Raw genomic sequence first — 21,971 nt, 5'->3', positions numbered from 1 at the left:
GGATCTGACAGAAAATTTCTTTGTCTTTTTGAGTCCAATTTAGCCTCTCTGGGCTTTAGGTAAGAACAGATTTTAAACAGGTTTCCACAGGTAAGGACGTGGGCAGACGTGGACTCTTGTTCATTTTTCTTTTAGCAGGACAGAAATGCATGCATGCCTGGTATGGTATATCCTTATACAATAAAAAGAAAATGTTTTTGGAATTATCATTTTTTAAATGACACAAAAATCTAAGAGTCAACAAATAAACAGAGGTTTTTTTTTCCTCTGGGGAAAAATATGCATTTGTTTTCTTCTATTTCATTACATTGAATCTCTTAATGAGGGGCAGGCAGCTGTATCTGATGGGGAAGCTCAATCCTCTTAGTTAATTATAAAGAGCCTAGAGCCAAATTCAGGTCCTGAGGTAAGCCGTTTGTTAACTCTTCAGAAATGTCAAACCCCCAGGTAATTTTGGCTTTTAAACTGACCCAGGGGTTTGGAATACTAATTAATATGTGTTGAAACATGAATTCACAGTGCCAAGGATACTAATCTGTATATGGTAACAAAGTACTAGGTATCTGTTTGTTTATTGTAAGTGTTAGTGCCTCAAATATATCAGGTAAATGAAATAAAGATCAGCCAGGCTCAGTGGCTTATGCCTATAAGCCCAGCACTTTGGGAGGCCAAAGGTGGGCAGATCACTTAAGCCCAGAAGTTCAAGACCGGCATGGGCAACGTGGTAAGACCCCATCTCTACAAAAAATACAAAAATTAGCCAGGCGTGGTGGCACGTACTTGTAGTCCCAGCTACTTGGGAGGCTGAGGTGGGAGGATCGCTTGAGCCTGGGAAGTTGAGGCTGCAGTGAGCTGTGATTGCTCCACTGCACTCCAGCTTATATGACAGAGGCAGACTCTGTCTCAAATAAAAAAAGAAAAAGAAGGAAAGAAAATAAAGATCAGGTAGTGTCACAGGAAGGAATCTTCCGGTTATAAGCAGAGGTCTAGAAACAACATACTTCTTTCCCCCTCCCACCTGTGATTTAGGTCCTCAAAGAGTGTGTTTTTTTTCTCTCAGCAGTTCACTTCTGCCTTTTCTCCTGGCCTCATACTCCTTTCTTTGTCAGTTCAGACTTTTTGCACCCTCTTTGGAGGGTTGCTCTTAGGAATTTTTGTGAGAAATACTGTAACCAGAAAAGGAACCAGCCATGGAACGGCCATGAACAGCCTTCTGGTCCCTGACCCAGAATCCTTCTCGTTAAATTCACACTGAAAGTGCTCTTGCAAACTTGGATTTAGTGTTTTTGGTCATGGGGCCCCCATTCAATTGTTTGTTTGCCTTGGGAATATTTGCATTAAATAAAGCCCATATTTTGATGTTTCTATTAAATTTTATACATAATGGAGTCTTGTTCTGAAAAGGTGATGAAGGTGCTTATGTTTTAATTCTTCTGTTTGTCTACTTAGGTTCAATGTTGGATATCATAAAATACATTGTCAACCGAGGAGAACACAAGAATGGAGTTCTGGAAGAGGCAATAATAGCAACAATTCTTAAAGAGGTTTTGGAAGGCTTAGACTATCTACACAGAAACGGTCAGATTCACAGGTATGACCTCTGCAGAGATGTTTAAATTCAGATGTTCATATCTTAAAGAGGTTTTGGAAGGCTTAGACTGTCTACACAGAAACGGTCAGATTCACAGGTGTGACCTCTGCAGAGATGTTTAAATTCAGATGTTCATATCTTCAGCCCTAGTTTGTAAAGAATGTTAAGGAAACACATGTTGCAGGCAGGTATTGACATTACTTTAACTTAGTCTAAATAGATGGGAAAAAAGTACTTAAGAAAGAAACAAGAGAATAAATTTTGATGAATTATATTGGTATCCTTGGGATTGCTTCAGTTGCTTTCACTGAAATAAGAGTGGAATCTAAAAAGGACTACATGGACTCATTTAAAAAGATCAGTTTTGGTAACTACTCTTGAATTATACTAGTTGAACTAGACAGCATCTCTATCTTTCTAATACAAGCAAGACTATCCAAACATTGTACTATGTGAATTATTTTTGATGTGGTGGTGAGAGGGAAGGAAGAGGTACTCATCTTCTTTTGTGACATAAAATGTTAATTCTTTACATAGTCAAATCACATAGAATATGAGTGCTTGATGTTTCAAGTGAGTGAGTGCTACTTGGGCTCTTAGGAATTATTGCAAGTAAATAGCCATTTACCAGTAATACTAATAATGTAATTCTCCTACCCTGAAATTTATATTTAATTATTTCTACTATATTTTTCTTTTTCTTTTTTTTTTTGAGACAGAGTCTTGCTCTGTTGCCCAGGCTGGAGTGCAATGGTGTGATCTCAGCTCACTGCAACCTCTGCCTCCCGAGTTCAAGCAATTCTCCTGTCTCAGCCTCCCGAGTAGCTGGGATTACAGGCATGCGGCACCATGCCTGGCTAATTTTTGTATTTTTAGTAGAGATGGGGTTCACCATGTTGGCCAGGCTGGACTGACACTCTTGATCCCAGATGATCTGCCCACCTTAGCCTCCCAAAGTGCTAGGATTACAGGCGTGAGCCACTGTGGCTGGCCTATATTTTTCAATAATTAGAAAAAAGTTACTTTAGAAATCAAATTTATAAATTGCAAGTTGTCATTTTTCAAAGTACTAAGATTACACAGGTTTTATACGGTGAAGAAATATAATATCTATTATTATAATTAGTATTTATAATCAGTCTCTCACCAGAGAGAAGTTCATTTTTCAGAAAGATAATTAAGTTGGAATTGCATCCCAAATTTAAGTGGAAGTAGAGGAGCTTTACATAGACTGGGCTTTAATACTTGGTAGAATGACAGTAGTGTGAGTTTATGGGCAGTGTCTAACTCTGAAGCATAAAATAGAGAGTCTATTTACTGATGATTTAATTAAATTTGGATAATTATTTCATAGAAAATATTTCTTTCTAAAATCCTAACTCTCCCCCACGAGTAAACTATAAAGTGACAGGTGGATCCTTATACCTTTTTTTTTTTTTTTTTTTTTTTTTTGAGACCAAGTTTCACTCTTGTTGCCCAGGCTGGAGTGCAGTGGCACGGTGTTGGCTCACTGCAGCCTCCACCTCCCAGGTTCAAGTGATTCTTCTGCCTCAGCCTCCCAAGTAGCTGGGATTACAGGCACCTGCCACCATGCCCAACTAATTTTTATATTTTTAGTAGAGATGGGGTTTCACCATTTTTTCCAGGCTGGTCTCGAACTCCTGACCTCAGGTGCTCCACCCACCTTGGCCTCCCAAAGTGCTGGGATTACAGGCGTGAGCCACTGTGCCCAGCCTATCCTTATAACTTTTAAAATCTGTGCTATTATCTTAATATTTATGAAATTATTATGTCAAAGAGCTGCGTTGTATGATATGTTTTAAAATCTTCCTGAGTGAATCAATACACTATAAAGTCTGTACCCTACAATTTATTTTCTATTTTTTTTTCTAATAGGGATTTGAAAGCTGGTAATATTCTTCTGGGTGAGGATGGTTCAGTACAAATAGCAGGTAAAGCTGATAAATAGAAAAATTTTTTACTTGATTACGGAAGTGTTACAGTTTCAAGGAATGTAGAATCATTCCTGAGAAATGAATAAATGCATGTAATCTCTTTTCAGAATGATATTTACAGAATGTTTGGGTCCGAAGGATAACATATTTTCCTTATTGTTTTGATAAGTCATTAGATCATCCTGTGAAAAATGCCATTTTAGTACATAGCTTTTTGATAAAGAATAATTTTATTTTCAATTTTATTATGTTTTCTACCTTTCACATTTTATAATGGTAATACTCATATAACTTCAAGAAATGCACTTGTAAAAACATTTTTCGATAGGTTTGAAAATTTAAAACATCATACACATCAATTAAAAACTAATTTATTTCTTAAGAGGTATCTGAAAGAATTGTGAACATTAAAAATCTGGGCCTTATTTTGTTTTTAACTCTGACCCAACATGGCTATTCTTGACAAAGCTGGTAGGCTGGGGATGCAATGAATGTCTTTTACATGAACACACAATATCAGGTGAGCACCTTTCGTGTTCAAAGCCTCTATTTTGTTATTGGCCCTAGAGTAACCTTAAAGGCCTGGGATAAGATGTAGCCACGCCCATATTAACTCTTGCTTTACCCATGTCGTTGAAAGTCTGTCTCAGCAATCCTTTTAGCTTTCATGGTTTCTTGGGGGAGTGTTCTTGGCATTTTTTGGCTAGACAGTCATTCCCTCTACTGGAGTGACCCTGTCATTGCAGAGACGCGTAAGATGAGCCCACTTGTACCCATCACCTAGTTTCAATAATTATCAATCTTTGGCAATTCTTGATTCATCTGCTGCCCCCCACCCCCACCCCCCGACTCTGGTGCCTCTCCTCATCGTGGAGGCTGGATTTTGTTGTTGAGCCATCTGAGTTAGTGCTTTGTGTGTGCATATCTTGTCCTCATGAGTGGACCTTATCCCATAGGCTAAGGACAGTTTGAAAAAGTACTTCAGTTAAACAAGTAACAGCTAAGAGACATCTGTGGGCAAAGATTTCAAACTGTCCAGCCCCAAGCAGTCTAGTTGTTCAGAGTGCAGGCTCTGGTGTCAGCTGACTTGATCGAAATTCTGAGGCCACCACTTAGTAGCTGTACCACCTTGGGCAAGTTACCAAACCTTCTTAAGACTCAGTTTCCTTAAAGAAGGGTAAAAATATAAACTACTTCATCTTCTTTCATGAAATCAAGGTCCAGTGATCTTAACAGTGGCCAACACATAATAGGCAAGCAGTAAATATCAATAACTGCTGTTCTACCATGGCTGCTGCTGCTACTGCTGTTGCTACTATTACTACTATTACTTCTGTTACTACGACTAACAGGATCACAGTGATACTCCCTTGCACTGACTGGAGATCATGTGACCCTCAAATTGTCCTGCAAGAGCTTCAGCTCTGAGGAGAGTTTATGACTTATCAAAAGGTAATACTTATTAATTATGGAATTTGGAAGCTAACTTGCCATTAATCTTGCTCTAAGATGATAAGGAAGTACAACTAATTTTCTGTTTTATGATGAAATGATGATTTCTCACTAAAAGGGTCAAAATAGCAGTGAACTGCCTTTGAAATGTGAAGGCTGGTCAGCCCCTGCCTTATTCTGTTACTTGGTCCTCTGCCAGTCATCTCATCCCATTATTCTTGTCAGATTAATGATCCGAGCCTCTCCCTGAGCCTTCTGGAACACATTGTCCTTTTCTTTTTCCCAGTAAGAATCCCCGAGGTAAGATTTCCTGGCTTTTTCCTTCCATCACAGGCCTTTGGGTTTTTCCTCACTGCCGAGGAGTCTGTTGTGACCCAGTACGTGCCTGCACTGTGCGGGCTGCTGAGTTCAGAAGGGCTCAGGCAGGAAGCCCCTGCACAGGGTAGGTGTGGGAATTAAGTGAATTGATGTGTAGAGAGGGCTGTGCCTTTTCTATGCCTGGCATGTGCTGAGGACTTTGTGTTCCAGCCATCCGGGACTTCCTTGGTATCTTTTTGAGTATGCGACTTCATGCTTGTGTAATAACACAAACTGGAATGGCCATTTCCCAGATGTATGGTGGCTGCTTGACAGGCACCTAAATGTACAGCTTCTGCATCTCTGGAACTGTCGCTTTCTAGAATTCACATTTAATTTCTCCCATATTCTCTGACCTGATCATAACATCCAACTAATACAGTATTTAAAGTTTGAATTTTTAAAGTGTTCACTATAATATAAGGTTATTGCCTTAAAGCATTTTTAATGTCTCCTTGGAAAGGTAGATGTTACTGCTGTCCTCATTTTATAGGAGATTGACTTTCTTGGTCAGGTACTTGGTTGCTGCCTGAACAAAAATGAGGACCAGGAGTCTCTGGGTCTTTTACTGGCATCCTTGTCGGTGGGTGAAACAGGCGAGATCGGGGGGAAGAGTGGAATGTGGAGACTCAGCAACGGCAGGGGTGAGACGGTCCCTTTTTGTTGCTACCTGGACAAATAATACATTGTTTTTACCCAGTCTGTTTTTGCTCTTTCCCCTTTGTATCTTTATGCCTCTGAGGCCCTGTAGTTTGAAATAAAAGTTAAGCAGGGGAGAAGTTAAGTTTGCATTTATTTCTTTGAGTGTAATATACATTGCCCACCTTGAGAATATTATTGTGTGCACTGTTTTTAAGAAAGGGCATTTTTGCTATCCTAATAGAAAACATAATGATTTTTGTTTTTTTTTAGGGGAAACACTCACTTTTACATATGTATAAATTCCCTTTTTCAGAACTTTTTATCAGAAAACAGAAGATTAAAGGGCCTGATTTAGACCATGAGAAACCCTCACTTTATTATGCAGCTAGAAGTGTGGTGGATAGGATAATGAGCCTGGTTCTGTTGAACACAGTCCAAATTCTCTGGGAAGAATGTACATTTCTATTGAACGTGGGTATAAAATCAGGAACTAATGTGTCTTGAGTGCTTCCTGTGTGTCAGGCTAGGTTTTGGATTCTGAATGCTTTGAGTCTCATTCAGTCCTCAGCACAACTCCATGAGGAAGGTACTATTGCATCCATTTTACATAGGAGAAACTAAATTACAGTGGGGAAGTCAGTTGCCCAGGTCACACGTAGAATAAGCGGTGTAGCCATGCTTTGGGTTTGGACAGTCTGACTCTAGAAACTGTCAACTCACATCTATGGGATTTCCAGGAGGAGGACCTTAAATCTGGATTTAAATGACCTCACTTTCAGATGGAATATACCCCAGCGATCACTAGCTCTTCTGTGTCTCTGCATAAATCGATTCCCCTTTGGGCCAGGGAACATATTCAGCACCTTCTTCCTCCTTGCTCCTTCAGGCTGAAACACAAGGGTGTCCCTGGTAAGGTTTCAGGGCATAGGAGAAGCAGCCATCTAAGCGTCATTTGGTATAGAATTAAGCTCAATAATGACACCACACTCTTTTCAGACTGGAAAACTTCAGGTTTGATGTAGTGAATTAGAACCTGAGGACAGCCTACTCAGGGTTTAAGAGAAAATGCTTTCCTTCTTACTGTACCTTCTATGCTTAGAGGTCCAGTGTGTGTAACTTCCTGATAATCAACTTGGATGCCTTGGAAAATGTAATAGGTTTTGCTGCACTGTGTGATAGAAGGGGGAGTGGCTACTCGAAAGTCATGTTCTTCCCACGGCATAGCATTTTATCTTCCAATTTGATGCCCTGTCATATTGTCAGGAAGAGCTTAGTGCTTTGGCAAATGACTAAGCCTGTTTGTCCAGAATTAATGAGAGACACTATTTTGAGCAAACAGAAATTCATATGAAACAGATCACTTTGAGGTGGTTTCTGCTAATCTTTTTAATCTAAGATTTAAAAAAAATAGTGGCTACTCTTGATGTTCTATAAAAATGTTGATTTCAACACCTTTGATTTATAAAGAACTTTGTAGAAGCTTACTACTACATTATGTAAGGTAGATCTCATGCTCATTTTCACTTACGTTTGCCTTTTAGGTGTGTGTGTGCTGTGGTTTGAATTTTGTGTGCCCTCCAAATTCATATGTTGAACCCTAATTACCAATGTGATGGTGTTAGGAGGTGGGGCCTTTGGGAGGTAATAAGATCATGAGGCCTAAACCCTCATGAGTAGGGCCAGTGCCTTTATAAAGAGGCCCCAGAGAGCTGCCGTGCCCTTCTACCATGTGAGGACACGAACAGAAGGCACCATCTATAAACAAGAAGGCGGGTCCTTACTAGATAGTGAATCTGCCGATGCCATAATCTTGGACTTCCCAGCCTGCAGAACTGTGATAAATAAGATTTTGTTGTTTTTAAGTCACCCAGTCTAAGGTATTTTGTTATAGTAGGCCCAATACACAAAGACAGTGCTTATGTGTGTGAATGTGAATTTCCCTTCCCTGGTTTTACATAACAGAAATAAAAACTGGTACTGAGCGAAAGCAGCCTGGAACTCTAGAAAGTTACCATCAAAATGCCTCACGTATGTGCATCCATTCAAATCAAGCTTATGCCCTGGGTTTTTCACTGTCCAAGGTACATTGGTAGAACTTTGGGTAGCATCTCTTATTTACTGGGAGGGAGATAATATCCTTATCAGCCTTGAATACATCTTCATTTTAAATCTGCATCTTGAACACTGAAAACCCCATGACTAAAAGTGCTAGGAAAACATGCAATGAAACTTAACTTGCTTCTGTCACTTAGGCGTTATCCATTAAGGAGCTAGAGGAAGATGGGCAAGGTGGTTGAGTTTTTACACCCATAGCTGCTAGGTTCTTTCATTTTCCTTCTGTGGCCTTTGGCCCTCATAAAGTGCACTTTGATGGGGAGGGTAGGGGTTTAAGAGTTATTTTTTGTGTTGTAGGGAAGAGAGGCTGCTGCTTTGAGCAAGGCACCCGAGCAGCGCTGGAGTCAGCTTCTGATTAGTGTGGGAAAGCGCTGAAAGCCCCGGAGGCATCCAATCAGGAAATGATGTCATCACATTTATGAGCACCTTGGCCCAGAGCATGGGCTCTGACACCAGACAGCCATAGTTCAGTCCTGGCATTGCTCCTTCTAGCTGTGTAACCAAGTTATAGCTTTAGCTTCTCTGTGCCTCATTTTGCACGTTTGTGTAATGAGAATATACTGCGGCATTAAAGGAGTTAAAACACATTTTATTTTAGAATTTGCTAACTCATTGCTTTCGTATTGAAATTGGGATGGTGTCCTCTAATTACTTAGGGTGTGGTAAGCTCACGGTGGCTAGGGAGGTGCGAGGCCTTAGGCACTCCATCTGACCTCCTGCCGTGTTATTTTGCTCTTTTCTTTTTCCCATCAGTTTCCTCAATATCACCAGAGTGAAGAATCTGCAGTGTAGATCTGACTGTATCTTCCTCTTGCATAAAGTTTATAAGCATTGTTGATGGAATAAAGCATTGTTGATGGAATAAAGCTCCAGCTTCCTACTAATGGCAGATGAGGGACCTGCCTGTTTTTCTGGTCATGTCTGCAAGTGCTTTCTGCTGTGACTTGAAATGCTTATAGCTTCTTGTTCAGGGTTCCCCTTTCTTACCTGAGTAACTTCTTTTCATGACTTATTCATGAAGAATTCTTTCCTTGAGAAACCTTTCATGATCATTTCCTCCACCATGCCCACCTGCACCAGGTTAAGCCCCTCACCCTGGTGGTTTGCAAGGGTTCTGGCCATACTCTAGCTAGCCTATGACACAGCACTGACATTGGGCCTTTACTTTCCCATCTTCCCTTCAGACTGGATACTTCCCAGAGGGAGAAACTGTGTTGTTCATCGCAGCATTCCCAGATGGTACCTGATACATGGCAGGTGTTCCTGAACTTTGGGTCAGTGCACTCTGCCTAGAGGCACGGGAGACACCCTGTCTCAGCAGCAGGTTATGCAAGTACATGTGCCTGTTGGTGGCAAAGAGAACAGATGTAAGGCATAGCTGAGAGTTGAAATGAGTAAGAATATATCAGCTTAGCAGGGAGGGAGGCAGAAATATTTTAAATATTTAGGTATGTATACTACTGCATATTTTAAAGGCTGAAAATAGTTTTTAATGGGGAATATCACTTCTGATTTTGGACAAGCACTGCCCTAGCCTGCAAGCCATGAGGCTAAAGTTAAGGAAGAGTGAAGCAGAGAACATGAATGAAGAGGCAACTGGTTATACTCAGAAAATAGAATACACATGAAAATTAAAATCTGTTGGGGTGGGGGGGGTGCAAGTGCTTTATAGTGAACCGAAATATTTGTTTTGAGTTTCAGGAACAGTTTATAACTATGTGAATTATGGTTTGATGAATTACGACAAAATTCTCATACATGAATTTTTTTTTGGCATAAGTGAATAAGGACAGTAAATTAATGTGGCTCCCTGATTTTTGGTATCTCGACAAATGGTAACATTTGATAAGAGCTCTAGAATGAACCAAGAATGTACTCAGTTCTGGAAACTGAGTTTTTCATTCCAGCTGCACACCATCAGTGAGAAATACTTGGGGAGATTGTAAGCAGCTTCTCATGCTTTAACAGCTGCTAGCAGTTGTTTGAGCAACAGCTTAAGGAAATGTTACTGGGTGAACCCGGTGGAGGAGAACCACTTTGCTCTACTCTCCTGCTGGAATTTTTGCTCAGCTCTGCACGTTTAGCTGCAGGGGGGACAGGGTTGAGCTTCACAGAAGAGTGTCTAGGGGGGCATGAGGCAGATGGGACTCAGTCTCCCTCCTTCCCTCTCTTTTTTCCTTCCTGTAAGGGCCTGCAATTCATTATTAAATTAAATTTCACATATTACCAAATACTATGGAGGTCTGCCTAAAATAAGAGTTTTTAGACTTGAAAGCAGAGCAATTCGGTCCTTTGCTTATTTTTTCGTTTATTTTTCTTTTTCCCAGAACCTCCATTTGTATAGCCTGCTCCTTCTGTGGGAGAAAAGGTAAACATTAGATGTTTGGTTTCAGTGTATCCTCAGTGGTTAGTTGACAGGTATTTATTGAGCATTTGCTATGTTCTAGGCACAGTCCTCTCAGCTGACACAGTGGTAAGCAATGGAGACATTGTGTCTACTGTCATGGAGTTTAGGTGACACATTAAACAGTCAACTATATAAATTTAAAAAATGTGTTAAGTGTGAAGGGAATGCCTATACCTGGGTAACTTAAGTTATCCACATTAGGACTAGTTGAATAGGTTGTAATGGGGATAAATTTTAAATATGTATTGTAAATAGGTTTTGGTCAATAACATCTTATAAGTTACTGCATGTATCATATGTTGATTACAGATTTTTAGGACATTTAAATAGTGTTAACCTGTGTTTACATTCTGTGGAATATGATTTAACACTTGATTGTATGTAGTACACTTGAGGACACAGTAGCCAGTCTAGGCCCCCAGTGGTCATTAACTTACTGTCCTTACCCTTTGCTGGCCATAGTTTGTATCACCTGTAAAATGATGTGCTTAGGCTCTCAAATTTCCTTGCAACTCTAACAAGTGGATAACTTTAATAGAGAACTCTATGACCCCTGTGCTCCTGAACTGTGCTTCTCACAGTCTTTCCCAGTTCTTTTAGTGGGAGAACCATTCTTCTATTGAATGGGCCAGAAATCTTGATATTCCTCGATCCTTGTCGTTCTCTTGGACCCTACATCCTATCCAATATGTTAGTAAATCCTATGGTTGACCATATTTCATCAGCTCCCTGCTGTCATCCTGGTCCACAGACCCATCAGTTCTTGTTTGGATTATTATGGTGGTCTCCTAAAAGGACCTCTTCTTCTGCCTTTGCCCCTCTGTGGTCTGTTCTCTACACGGCATCTGGATTAATGCTGTTAAACTAAGTTGACTTGTATTATGCCTTTCCTCAAAACCCTCCAACCCCTTGCCATTTCAGAGTGAAAGTCAAAATCCTTAAGGTGGCTCGTGAGGCCTTACAAGATCTGGCCCCTCATTATGTCATTGATTTCAACTCTTACATCTTCCTCTTCAGTCAAATCGGCCTCCTTACCTTGCATGCTGCTGCCCCGGGATCTTTGCATGGGCCGTTCCTTCTTTCTGGAATACTCTTTTCCTTACCTCCTTCAGATCTTGGCTCAAGTGTCACATCAGTGAGACTTCCAGGCCTCATATTGTAACCCCCCCCCACCCCATATTTTGTATTCCCTGCCCTGCTCTGTTTTCTTTATTGTACACATCAGCGTACTCTCTATCAGTGGCTCTCTCAAGGTGTGCTCCTAGAGCAGCAGCAGCAGCATAAACTTGATAAAAATGCAAACTCTTGTGTTCTCCTACCCTAGACCTTCTGAATCGGAAACTCTAGAGGTAGGGCCCAGCAATCTGTGTTTTAAGAAGCCCTCTAAGGGTTCTGAAGCAGGCTGAAGTCTGAGAACTACTACTATGTATTATATTTTGTAATTTTGCTTTTATCTGTATTTACCTCTCCCCCTTACTCCTGCCCCAACTTAAAAGTCAGCTCCGTGAGAGCAGGGGTTTCTGGTCTACAGTCCCAGTACTTAGAACTGGAAGTGGCACTTAGTAAGATCTTGGCAAATAGTTGTCAAATGAATTAATAAACATCTGACTATATAGTAAATTTAGATTAAAAGAATATTGAGCAATAGTTCAGTGACTCTTTAATGTTAGGAGTTTTCAGTGTGAGGTTTTCTTTTATCACAGATTTGGAAATCTGCAGATTCTTTGAAGATTCAACTAATCCTTCTGAAAACTTTGTAAAACAATGGTGTGCATTGTTTCCTTAAATACTTGTAGCAACTGGAGTTGTGTTATTTTAATCTTCTCCCATAGGGATCATATTTTTAACATGTACAGATGGGCTATTGTGGCTTAATGGAAGCTTCTGATAGTAGTGCTGGTTGAGTGAAGATTTGTTTAAAAAAGATCACCTGCAGGTATATGAATATTGCATTGGAAATTTAGACTTATTAATATTTGATCTAAGTTGTTCATGCCTGTCTCTGCGGATATGGCCGGCCAGGAGCCCTCGCTGACTTTAGAAGCTTGCCTTTGGCTTGGGAAACAATAATACCTGTATAATATACTTACCTGGTGCTCTCCTTACAGCAACTCTGTCAGTTCAGCACAATAGTTCCTTCAGATGAAGCATCTGAGGACTGCTGAGCAATTGTGGACTTGTTTAAGGTCATTCTGAAAGTCATAAAAGCACTTCACTCTCAAATCTCCTCAGACTTCACTTTTGCTTCTTGCCATTAGGTTTCACCCCTACCCCACCAATATACTTCTTAACTCTATGCCTTTTGACGGTTGAGGAGCGCCGGGGCTCAGTTCCTTCCGTTGTAAAGTAAGGAAGATTGACAAGATGTTCTCCAAGGACCTATCTTGCATCAAAATGTTCAAATAACCCTTCATTAGCTGCAGTCACTTAAAGACATTCTCAGTACTGTTTTGAAGAATTCAAATCAGAGGATTGTCTTGGGTGTAGAGAGGAGAGTAAGCCAAGCCTCTGTCCTGTGGCTGCTTTTACCAGAGCATCTTTAAAAATAGTCCTCCCACCCCACATTGGGGATCCAGGGAAGAATGGATATGTGGTGTGGGAATTATCTGTGTTTTTCCTTTGTTCAGTGTAATTATCTTATTTAATAGAAAGTTGACCACTAGTGAACTCTTGAAAAAGCTGTCTCTTGGCCTGGAACCTTCAGCACATCTGGGCTGGGACTCCTGCTCCAGCCTTCCCTTCTGTTGCTGCTCCAGGTGTGACCAGTGACTCTACTTCTTACTGAAAATTCACCTGCTTTGGGGCAAGGGTTCTGTAGCTCTGACATAGATGGGCAGATTATCTGTGGTTTGCCATTTTGTTCAACTGGTCCTCTCCACTGCTGTGGCTAATTGACTGTATCAGTCAACTGAACTTTGAGCCAAATATAATTGGCATTGACCACCACTTATTCTTTTTGTCCCTTTTAAGCCTGTGGTGTCTTGATTGAGAGAATGGCTGAGGAATTGGGGAGGGAGTAGCAGCTTCTGTGTTTTTACCAAGAATCCTGTTGAATTTTTTTTTTTTTTTTTTGAGACCGAGTCTCACTCTGTCGCCCAGGCTGGAGTGCAGTGGCGTGATCTCGGCTCACTGCAACCTCCACCTCCTGGGTTCAAGCGATTCTCCTGCGTCAGCCTCACGAGTAGCTGGGACTATAGGCACGTGCCACCACCACACCTGGCTAATTTTTTGTGTTTTTAGTAGAGATGGGGTTTCACCGTGTTAGCTAGGATGGTCTCGATCTCCTGACCTTGCAATCTGACTGCCTCGGCCTCCCAAAATGCTGGGATTACAGGAGTGAGCCACCGTCCCTGGCCTGAATTTTTCTTTCAATTTTTCTATCGTGAATTGATTTGATTCCTTGTAGAAGGTGCAAAGGATGTAGCCTATTTGAAGGAAACTGGTTGATGGCAATGTCAAGAGTCTACATATGAGACCCCAGTCATGGGAAGGCTTGCTTCTTTGTGTTTCTTTTATTTTAAAAGATGAAACTCTACCTTTATGGACTGTCTTATGATTTCTTCTTTTGTTGTCAGAAAAGGCTGTGAAACTGTCATTCTCTGATGTTTCAAAGAAGGTTATGACTACTGCTCCCTCATTAATAGATAGGGAAGATGGATTTGATAAGTGACTAGAGCATTTGATAAGTGACTCTCTAGGGCCTAGACTCAGGAAATACTGTAGGATTATGTTTTTTTGACTGTGAATGACTTGGACACCATGCCATGGTTGGGGCCCATGGCATATAGAGCCAAACAAGGCCATTGAGCACCATTTGCTTTCAAGAAGGAATAAATAGAAATGAAAACCAGGAGCCTGATGTGGGGTGAGGGGAAGGGATTGGGTGGGAGTGAGGGTGTCAGAAGAACCTCTTTGGTTCTACATGGTTCCTCTTGGGGTACCAGGTTCTCTCCCAAGCAAGATGGGTGGTGTGTCCCAATATGTAGTGGTGTGTGAATAACTGATTACTAATAGTAAAGTGCCAACATATTTATTGACTTGCTTAAAAGGTAAGCAGATTCAAGGTTATCACTCTAATAATATGATATCAGGTTGGTGCAAAGGTAATGTGGTTATTGCCATTGCTTTTAATTTAAAACCGCAATTACCTTTGCACCAACCTGATATCACCCTTACACAATTCATTAGAGGTTTTCACAAATGAGAGAGAAAGGAGTAGTGCCACATAAATCTGTGCAAAGAATCATGTTTACCTATAGCCTCTCTCCCAGTACCATCACACCTGCAGTGAGCAACTGTTACTGATAAACTGTTAGTAAGTATTGTGATTATAAATTATTTTCATGCACTTAACAAAGATTTCATAAAAATCTGTGTATTCCCAAAGAGGTGTGCCATGTATATGAATTTATTCTACTGCACATATGAGACATAGTTGAGAATCGCTGGGTTAGACAATTCTGTGTGGGATATGATTTATGTTTTTAGAATTGCCCTTGGACTAACTGTGTCATAAGATACATGAACATGCACACTTAACTACTTTTTTCCTGCTACGCTTCCTCGACTGCCATGGTTCTCTTCATCTGAGAGGTGAAAGAGGAACCTGTGGAGTTGGCTGTGCATTGAGATCTTCCAGTCCCACTGAATCACGCCATAGTGCCTGCTAGGAGGACAGTAATCTAGAGTAGTGCTTCTCTTCTTCGATGTGCGTTCAAGTCAGCTGGGGATCTTGCTGCAATGCAGATTCTGATTCAGTAGGTCTAGAGTGGGACTCAAGATTCTGCATTTAAAGCCTCACAGGTAATGCTGGTCTGGTTTATGGACCCCACTTTGAATTACAAGGGTCTAGACTAGGATGTCGAACTTACTTCTGTTTCCTATTTTCCTAGAAGTGTGCTATTTTCTTTGGTGTAGGTTTATGTAAATATAGCCCCAGCAGCAACTACTGGCAAAAAAGCGAATTAGATTCTTCTTGCAGTATGTTTTCTTCCCCCTTGAGATGCCTCTGCATTTACTTATTTTAATTTGTGCTTCTGGCATGAAAAGCCATGCTTGATACTGGAGCTGTTTTAAAATCCAAAATTGCACTGTGTGCTAAACGGTTTTCTTGCTAATTTTTTACCAAGTCCTTTTGGGGATTGCAGTGACTTTGGCCTCTGATGCAATGGTTAACCCTTAGCAGTCAGGAAGTGTGAATCAGTGTGGCTAGACTGAGGAAAGGCAGGAGACTGTAAGAGTTAAGAAGGCTTTGGGTACAAATAACAGAGTACTGGTCTGAAAGGAGATTAAGCAGCAGAAACGTTAATTATCTCACGTAGCAAGAAGTCTGGGCATTTGGTTTCATAGTTGGTGCAGGGGACCTAGAGATGTCACAGAGGTCATGGACTCTTTCCTTCTTCCACTTCTGCACTGCCAGTGGGGATTGGGCAGCACCTGCCAGCATGGGCTGTATCACTCCCATACATCACATCTTCATGGGCTGTCATCACTGCCAGCATCACCTCTTCACATGACCATTCTCAAACAGGAAGGAGAATGGGGAGCAAAGGAGCCCTGTAGGATGGTTATTTTATTCAGGAGAAAAACTTCACTGCAAGGGCCTGTACTGTATTACTACCTTTGGATCTTACAGGTCAGGACTAGGGCAGAGCCACAGACCATTCACTGGTGAAAAAGAACCATATGCCATTATTGGCTTATATCAATAAGGTGAATCTCCCAAGGCCTGGCAAACAAAATCAAGATTCTGGTAGGAAAGAACAGGATATGGATGTTGGGTAGTCAGCCAACAGTGTGTGCTCCAAGAACTGATACTGAGAAGTTATCATATTCTAAGCTCCTCATGGTAAAGCTTGAGGACCTGTTGCTCAAAGAAGGAAACGAGCAGGGAGTGTCATTGGGACTTAACATTCAGGCCTGTTCAATTTTAAAGCACCTCTTTGGAGCGGAAACATGGCTCCTTTGTATGCACTGTGTCTTCCCTTGCAGCCTGTCTTCTTTCTGTTAGTTTTAGGGATTATTGATGGCAGACTTACTAGAATCAGGATCCCACAGTATGCCTCTGAATAGGGGCCACATATGTTACATCACACACGTTGCTATCTGGCCTCTTTGGCCGTGGGTGTGCTGGAATACCACTATAATAATAGAAGGAAAACTACTCCTATGTGCAAAGTGGCATTATTTCAAGAAGGAAGCCAGCTCAGTGAGTGTGGGTGGCTGCTGCTGCCGGTCTTGTTGCATCTTGACTTGTCCTGCTGAGCTTTCTGCTCTTCTTCTTGCTCTGAGCTATGCTGTGTTCTGCTGAGCACAGCGCAGGTGCCCAGAAGCGCAACGTCCACCTGGAAGACTTAAGTTATCCCTCTGCCTCCTTTGAGTCAGGACAGCAGAAAGCTTTCTCCTGCTTTGGATTGCAGGGTTTCCTAGTAGGTTGGAGGGAAGGGGTGGCCCTCCCAGTTTGCACTCAGAGTTGGCTTTCAGTGCCCAGAGGTCTGGTGACATTCTGATGATGGTCAGGCTCCAGGAAAAAAGTTGTGCCTATTTCCTCTATAAACAAAAAGAAAACAAACAGAAGTATTAGTATCCAAAGGCTGGATTTAATTATACATAAACTTAAAGCAGAAATGGTGATTTGGTCAGTTAAGGGAGCGAAAGCACTTTGCTAAAGTATACCATAATTGAATAAGCATTGCAATCAGAAGGAAACAATACTAGAATCCTGTTGGCTTCCATATAAATGCTGAATTATGGCCTAGGATGAGCTTTCTTGTTATTCTCAAATGCCCTGGAGGGAGAAGGATTTTGACCAGAGAGTGCTATGATCAGAAACTGCACTTTAGGAAGATTAATCTGGATGTAATAAGTAAGTCTGGATTGCAGTTGGAAGAGGCATGCCTCTGATTCTGTAACTGCTAACTGCTAAAGCCCTGACTTTCCCTGGTCTGTGTTTTTCTTCTTTCACCAAGAAAATCGGGTGAAAGGGCCCTGGGAATTAGCAGCAGAAGATGGTGCTTTTAGTGCTGAGTGTAGTATACTGGGCCCATTAGCATGTTTCTTGTATTTATGTTGTTTAGGTCATGTCATAGTCATTCTATTTTAGTTAATATATTCCCCCATGTTAGCTCTCACTGCAAGGCCAGGATTATGTCTAAATCAAAACTCTGTTAGCCTGTGGTATCTAAACCCACTCCGTGCATGTACACAATTGTGCACACCCATGTGTACCGGGCATAAGTAGGTGCTGCACCACTGACACACATCCTAGTACAAAAATAATATGAAAATAAGGAAATACATGGTTAAAAAAAATGCTCTCTTTAGTCTGTTCCCAACAGAATTAAGAAAATATTTGCTTCTGTTTTCTACTCATTATTATACAGTTTGCATAACTGAAGTCACAATGTACTTCTTTAATCATCCAACGTTGGTGGTATAACATTTTAAGGAAACCTGTGGGACTCGGGAAGGCCGGATGCTGGCAGCCCTGAAAATGTTCCCGGGTGTTTAGAAGAACATTTCAATTTTGTCAGTCAAGTCTTGAGAGTCTCTCATGAGAAAAAAACAACAACTGGGAATCAAACCAAATTATAAAGAGATAGGTTTTCATGATATAAATATGACATTTAGGATTAACCAGTGAACCTCAAACCAGTTTTTCTGTGTTGGGTAATCACAACTTGATCTTTACTCAGAGAAGAGCTTAGGAGTTGCGGAATCTTAACCCCATTATTGCATTTTGCATTTCCTTCTCAATAAAGAAAAATACACTGAACTTTCCGGAAGAGGAGACTAGGGCTAAGTGGCTGACTCCTTTCTGAAGGACTGTGAATTTTATTCAGACCTTCGATAACTTGCTGTGTGTTCCTTGGCAAGTCATCTAATCTTTTTATTCCTTCCTCTTTTCTTAATTCCAATATCTACTAAATCATCGTATTTTCTTAAGAATTGGTCTAATCCTCTCCATTTCCAACCTCTCTATTCATATACAGGCTCTGTTGATTTTGCTCCTGGGCTATGGTTGTGGTCTTCTCTGCTTCTAGTCTTTTTCCTTTCTTGAACATCCCTGCATGGTCACTTTTTCCAAATGTTGTTCTTCTCTAACGAGAGAGGGAACAACAGCTGTTAATTGAATCAGGTACAAATTCCCTTACCTGGTGCTCAGACTCTGTGGTTGGTTGGGCCCCTCAACAATCTCACCCAGTACTTCCCTGCTTTTAAAAATAATGGCCTCTGTGGAAAAGAAGCTGCTTGTAGGAAAGAACTCTCAGGGTCCCCTGAAGCTATGGGGGCTCCTATTGCTCCAGACTCCCACCCAGCCACTTAGGCATCAGTGTCTCTTTTAACTCATTGTAGCTACATTTTAGGAAGCTCTGAACTCTCAAACATTGATCCCGTTACTCTCTGATCAAAGAGAGTCAATGTTGTTCATGCACAACTCAGGTTCCTTTTCAAAGAGAATAGCAGATACTGTAGAAGTTTGAGGTAGGTGAGGCTTGGGTACTCACCCACAGCTTCCCTTACAGGTTTTAGAGAAATCAACTTTCAGACCAAATTTTGCCCTTCATTAGCAAGCAAGCCCCTAAACAGTTCTCACAATTTGTTCTGTAAGCTCAAGGAAATCCCAGTTCTTTTTCCTCATAGGTGAATGAAAAATTCATTAGAGGCAGACATGCCAAGATTCCAGATGCAGTTTTTGCTTTATCCTTATGCTTGCTACTAGGAATCCAACCATCCACAGAACTGGCTAGGGTATAGTCTACAGTTGGACTGGACTGGATTGTTTTATTCTGTTCATGCAAGAGTAAGGAGTATATCTAAAATATTTTAGCCACTCTCTGGTGCTAAGAACCTTTATTTTCAGCAGTGAAAGCCCATTTCTAACATGTATCATACCTCTCAACAGGTCACTGTTTTCCCTAATAATAACCCCTTTGGACAATCAGTCACCTGGCTTATGCTCATCTATATTTAGATTTGGATAATAGAAATACTTCCAGCAGCTGCCTCTGGCATCCTGAGTCGAGTGCTATCAGAACCCCCCCAGCACTGGACATTCTTGGTTAGAATGCCAGCTGACCACCTAGGTTGTGGTATCACAAACATAATATCACATGGCATATGTTGAAGTATTTTAGGTACATTTTAGACATCATAACCACACAGTTGGCAGACTTTAGTTTTGCGGACTAAATTAGGCAGGAGAAATCGCTTTTCTATTTTTTTAAAAATGAATTTGTTGCCAACTACAGTAAGAAAGGGAGCTTTTTCATAAAGATTCCAATGTTTGGCTTTTTTGGGAAAACTGGGATATCCAGCAATCCTGGGTCTACATTTCTCTATGGCAACTTTCTTCTGGTGCCAAGCAGCAGGGGCCTGCCTTGGACCTTGGTGGGAGGGTGCTGACAGTGGGCTCCAGGGCTTCACACAGGGCCCAGCACTCCTAAAGTCTCCCGTCACAGAGACTGAGCATCAAGGGCCCTTGTCACTGAGACTGTAGCTGTTGTTTTTCAGGACCCTCTTTTCTCCATTGTATTCCTGCCTGGCTGCTGTAGGTGTTTTGAGTTTTTGACCCTTGCAGCTGTCAGTTTTTCTTCTTGGCTCCACACTTGTGCTTTGCTCATGCCGTTTCTTTGTCTGGAATTTGTTTCCTGTTGGACTTGCTCATCCAAGTCTTCACCTCATCTTGAAGGCTGGCTCCAAGACCCACTTTGGAGATAGTCTTCTATGACCATTATGGTTATAGCTCCTCTGCTTCTACACAGACAATATAGTATTTGATTTTATACATCTTATCCTACTTAGGTGGGAATATTCTTTTTTTTTTTTTTCTGAGACGGGCTCACTCTGTTGCCTAGACTGGAGTGCAGTGGCATGATCATGGCTTACTGCGTCCTCGACCTCCTGGGCTCAAGCGATTCTCCCATTTCATCCTCCTGAGTAGCTGAAATTACAGTTGCATGCCACCGCACCCACCTAATGAACTATCATGCCCGACAAATATTGTTGAAGTCAAGAAACATGTCTTCTCCTATTTTATCTCTGCCACTGTAAAATATTTATGCTTATCCCCTCAGCCTGCTTGCCTTGCTTATGAAAAGGCAGTGAGTAGCTTATCGATCTACCTAACAGTTGTTATAAAGAATAGTCATACATGGTAAAAAAAAAAATGAGTCTTATAAATATGAAAGTAATATAGAAATTGAGGCTCGGCATGGTGGCTCATGCTTATAATTCCAGCACGTTGGGAGGCTGAGACAGGAGGATCGCTTGAGCTCAACAGTTTGAGAACACCTTGGGCAACATAGAGAGACCCCATATCTACAAAAAATAAAAATAAATTAGATGGGCATGGTAGCACATGCCTGTAGTCATAGCTGCTTGGGAGGCTGAGGTAGGAGGATCGCTTGAGCATGGGAGGTTGAGGCTGCAGTGAGCCATGATCATGCCACTATGTTCCACCTTGGGCGACAGAGCGAGACTCTGTTTCAAAAAAATAAAATAAATAAATAAAAATAGGCCTAAATAAGAAGCCCAATAAGGCCCAGAAAGTTTAAGTCCCTTTCGGGAGTCATACAGTTGGGTAATAGTCTAGCCTTAGGCCTAATCACTGTTAACACTCAGATCTTGCCCATTAGTCCTGTAATGTTTCCTAGTAGATCTGCCACTCTCCAAATCAGATAACCATACCTGCAGATCCTCCTCAAGGCTTAGTAGCATTCACACATCAAAACTAGACCATGACCAATGTTACTGAAATCAAATTACGCAAAGGTGATGAATGCACATCAAATTACTCACCAAGAGCCAGGGTGCCGGAGATGCTGTGTCATTAACAAGGTCATGCAGAAAGCCTTCTGCTGGTGCACCTGTTCAGCATGGAGGGTTGATGTACCTAGACGACAAAGCATCATGTGCAAGGGCAATGCTGGTGAGGCCAAGGAGGTGATGGGATCAGGGAATAAAAAGTAAGTCATTCAGTAGGCTGGAGCTTACTGTCTGAATCTGAGAGTAGTGATATAGGTTTACGTGTTATGCTGAAGGATTTTGACTTTTTCCTGAGGGGACAGGGAGCCTTGAAAGACTTTTTTTTTTTTTTGAGACAAAGTCTTGCTCTCTTGCCAGGCCAGAGTGGAGTGGCATGATCTCAGCTCACTGCAACCTCCGCCTCCTGGGTTCAAGCGATTCCCCCGCCTCAGCCTCCAGAGTTGCTGGGACTACAGGCGCGTGCCACCAGGCCCAGCTGATTTTTTGTATTTTTTTAGTAGAGATGGGGTTTCACCATGTTGGCCTGGATGGTCTTGAACTCCTGACCTCGTGATCCACTTGCATTGGCCTCCCAAAGTGCTGGGGTTACAGGCATGAGCCACCGCTCCTGTCCTGAAAGTCTTTTAAGGAGGGCTCAGGCCTGTGACATAGAAAGGCCTGGTTGCTGGAGCCTGGATCTGGGGAA

The 21,971-nt window shown here is 41.5% G+C and overlaps 1 protein-coding gene across 8 annotated transcripts in view; it reads left to right on the top strand.

The window, feature by feature from the left end:
- Positions 1 to 21,971, top strand: part of STK39 (serine/threonine kinase 39) — a 293,574-nt gene that overhangs the window by 82,266 nt on the left and 189,337 nt on the right. For 7 of the 8 annotated variants that reach the window (NM_001410961.1, NM_013233.3, XM_047443944.1 and 4 more), the window contains exons 4-5: positions 1,450 to 1,591; positions 3,488 to 3,543. In NM_001410961.1, the coding sequence (NP_001397890.1) occupies positions 1,450 to 1,591; positions 3,488 to 3,543 (198 nt within the window). The other variant, XM_017003817.3, reaches the window with a different exon arrangement.

Source organism: Homo sapiens, chromosome 2 (assembly GCF_000001405.40).
Source record: "Homo sapiens chromosome 2, GRCh38.p14 Primary Assembly".
Classification (NCBI taxonomy): Eukaryota; Metazoa; Chordata; class Mammalia; order Primates; family Hominidae; genus Homo; species Homo sapiens.
The sequence above is the reverse complement of the archived record's forward strand: the minus strand, read 5'-3'. Positions and strand labels throughout refer to the sequence as shown.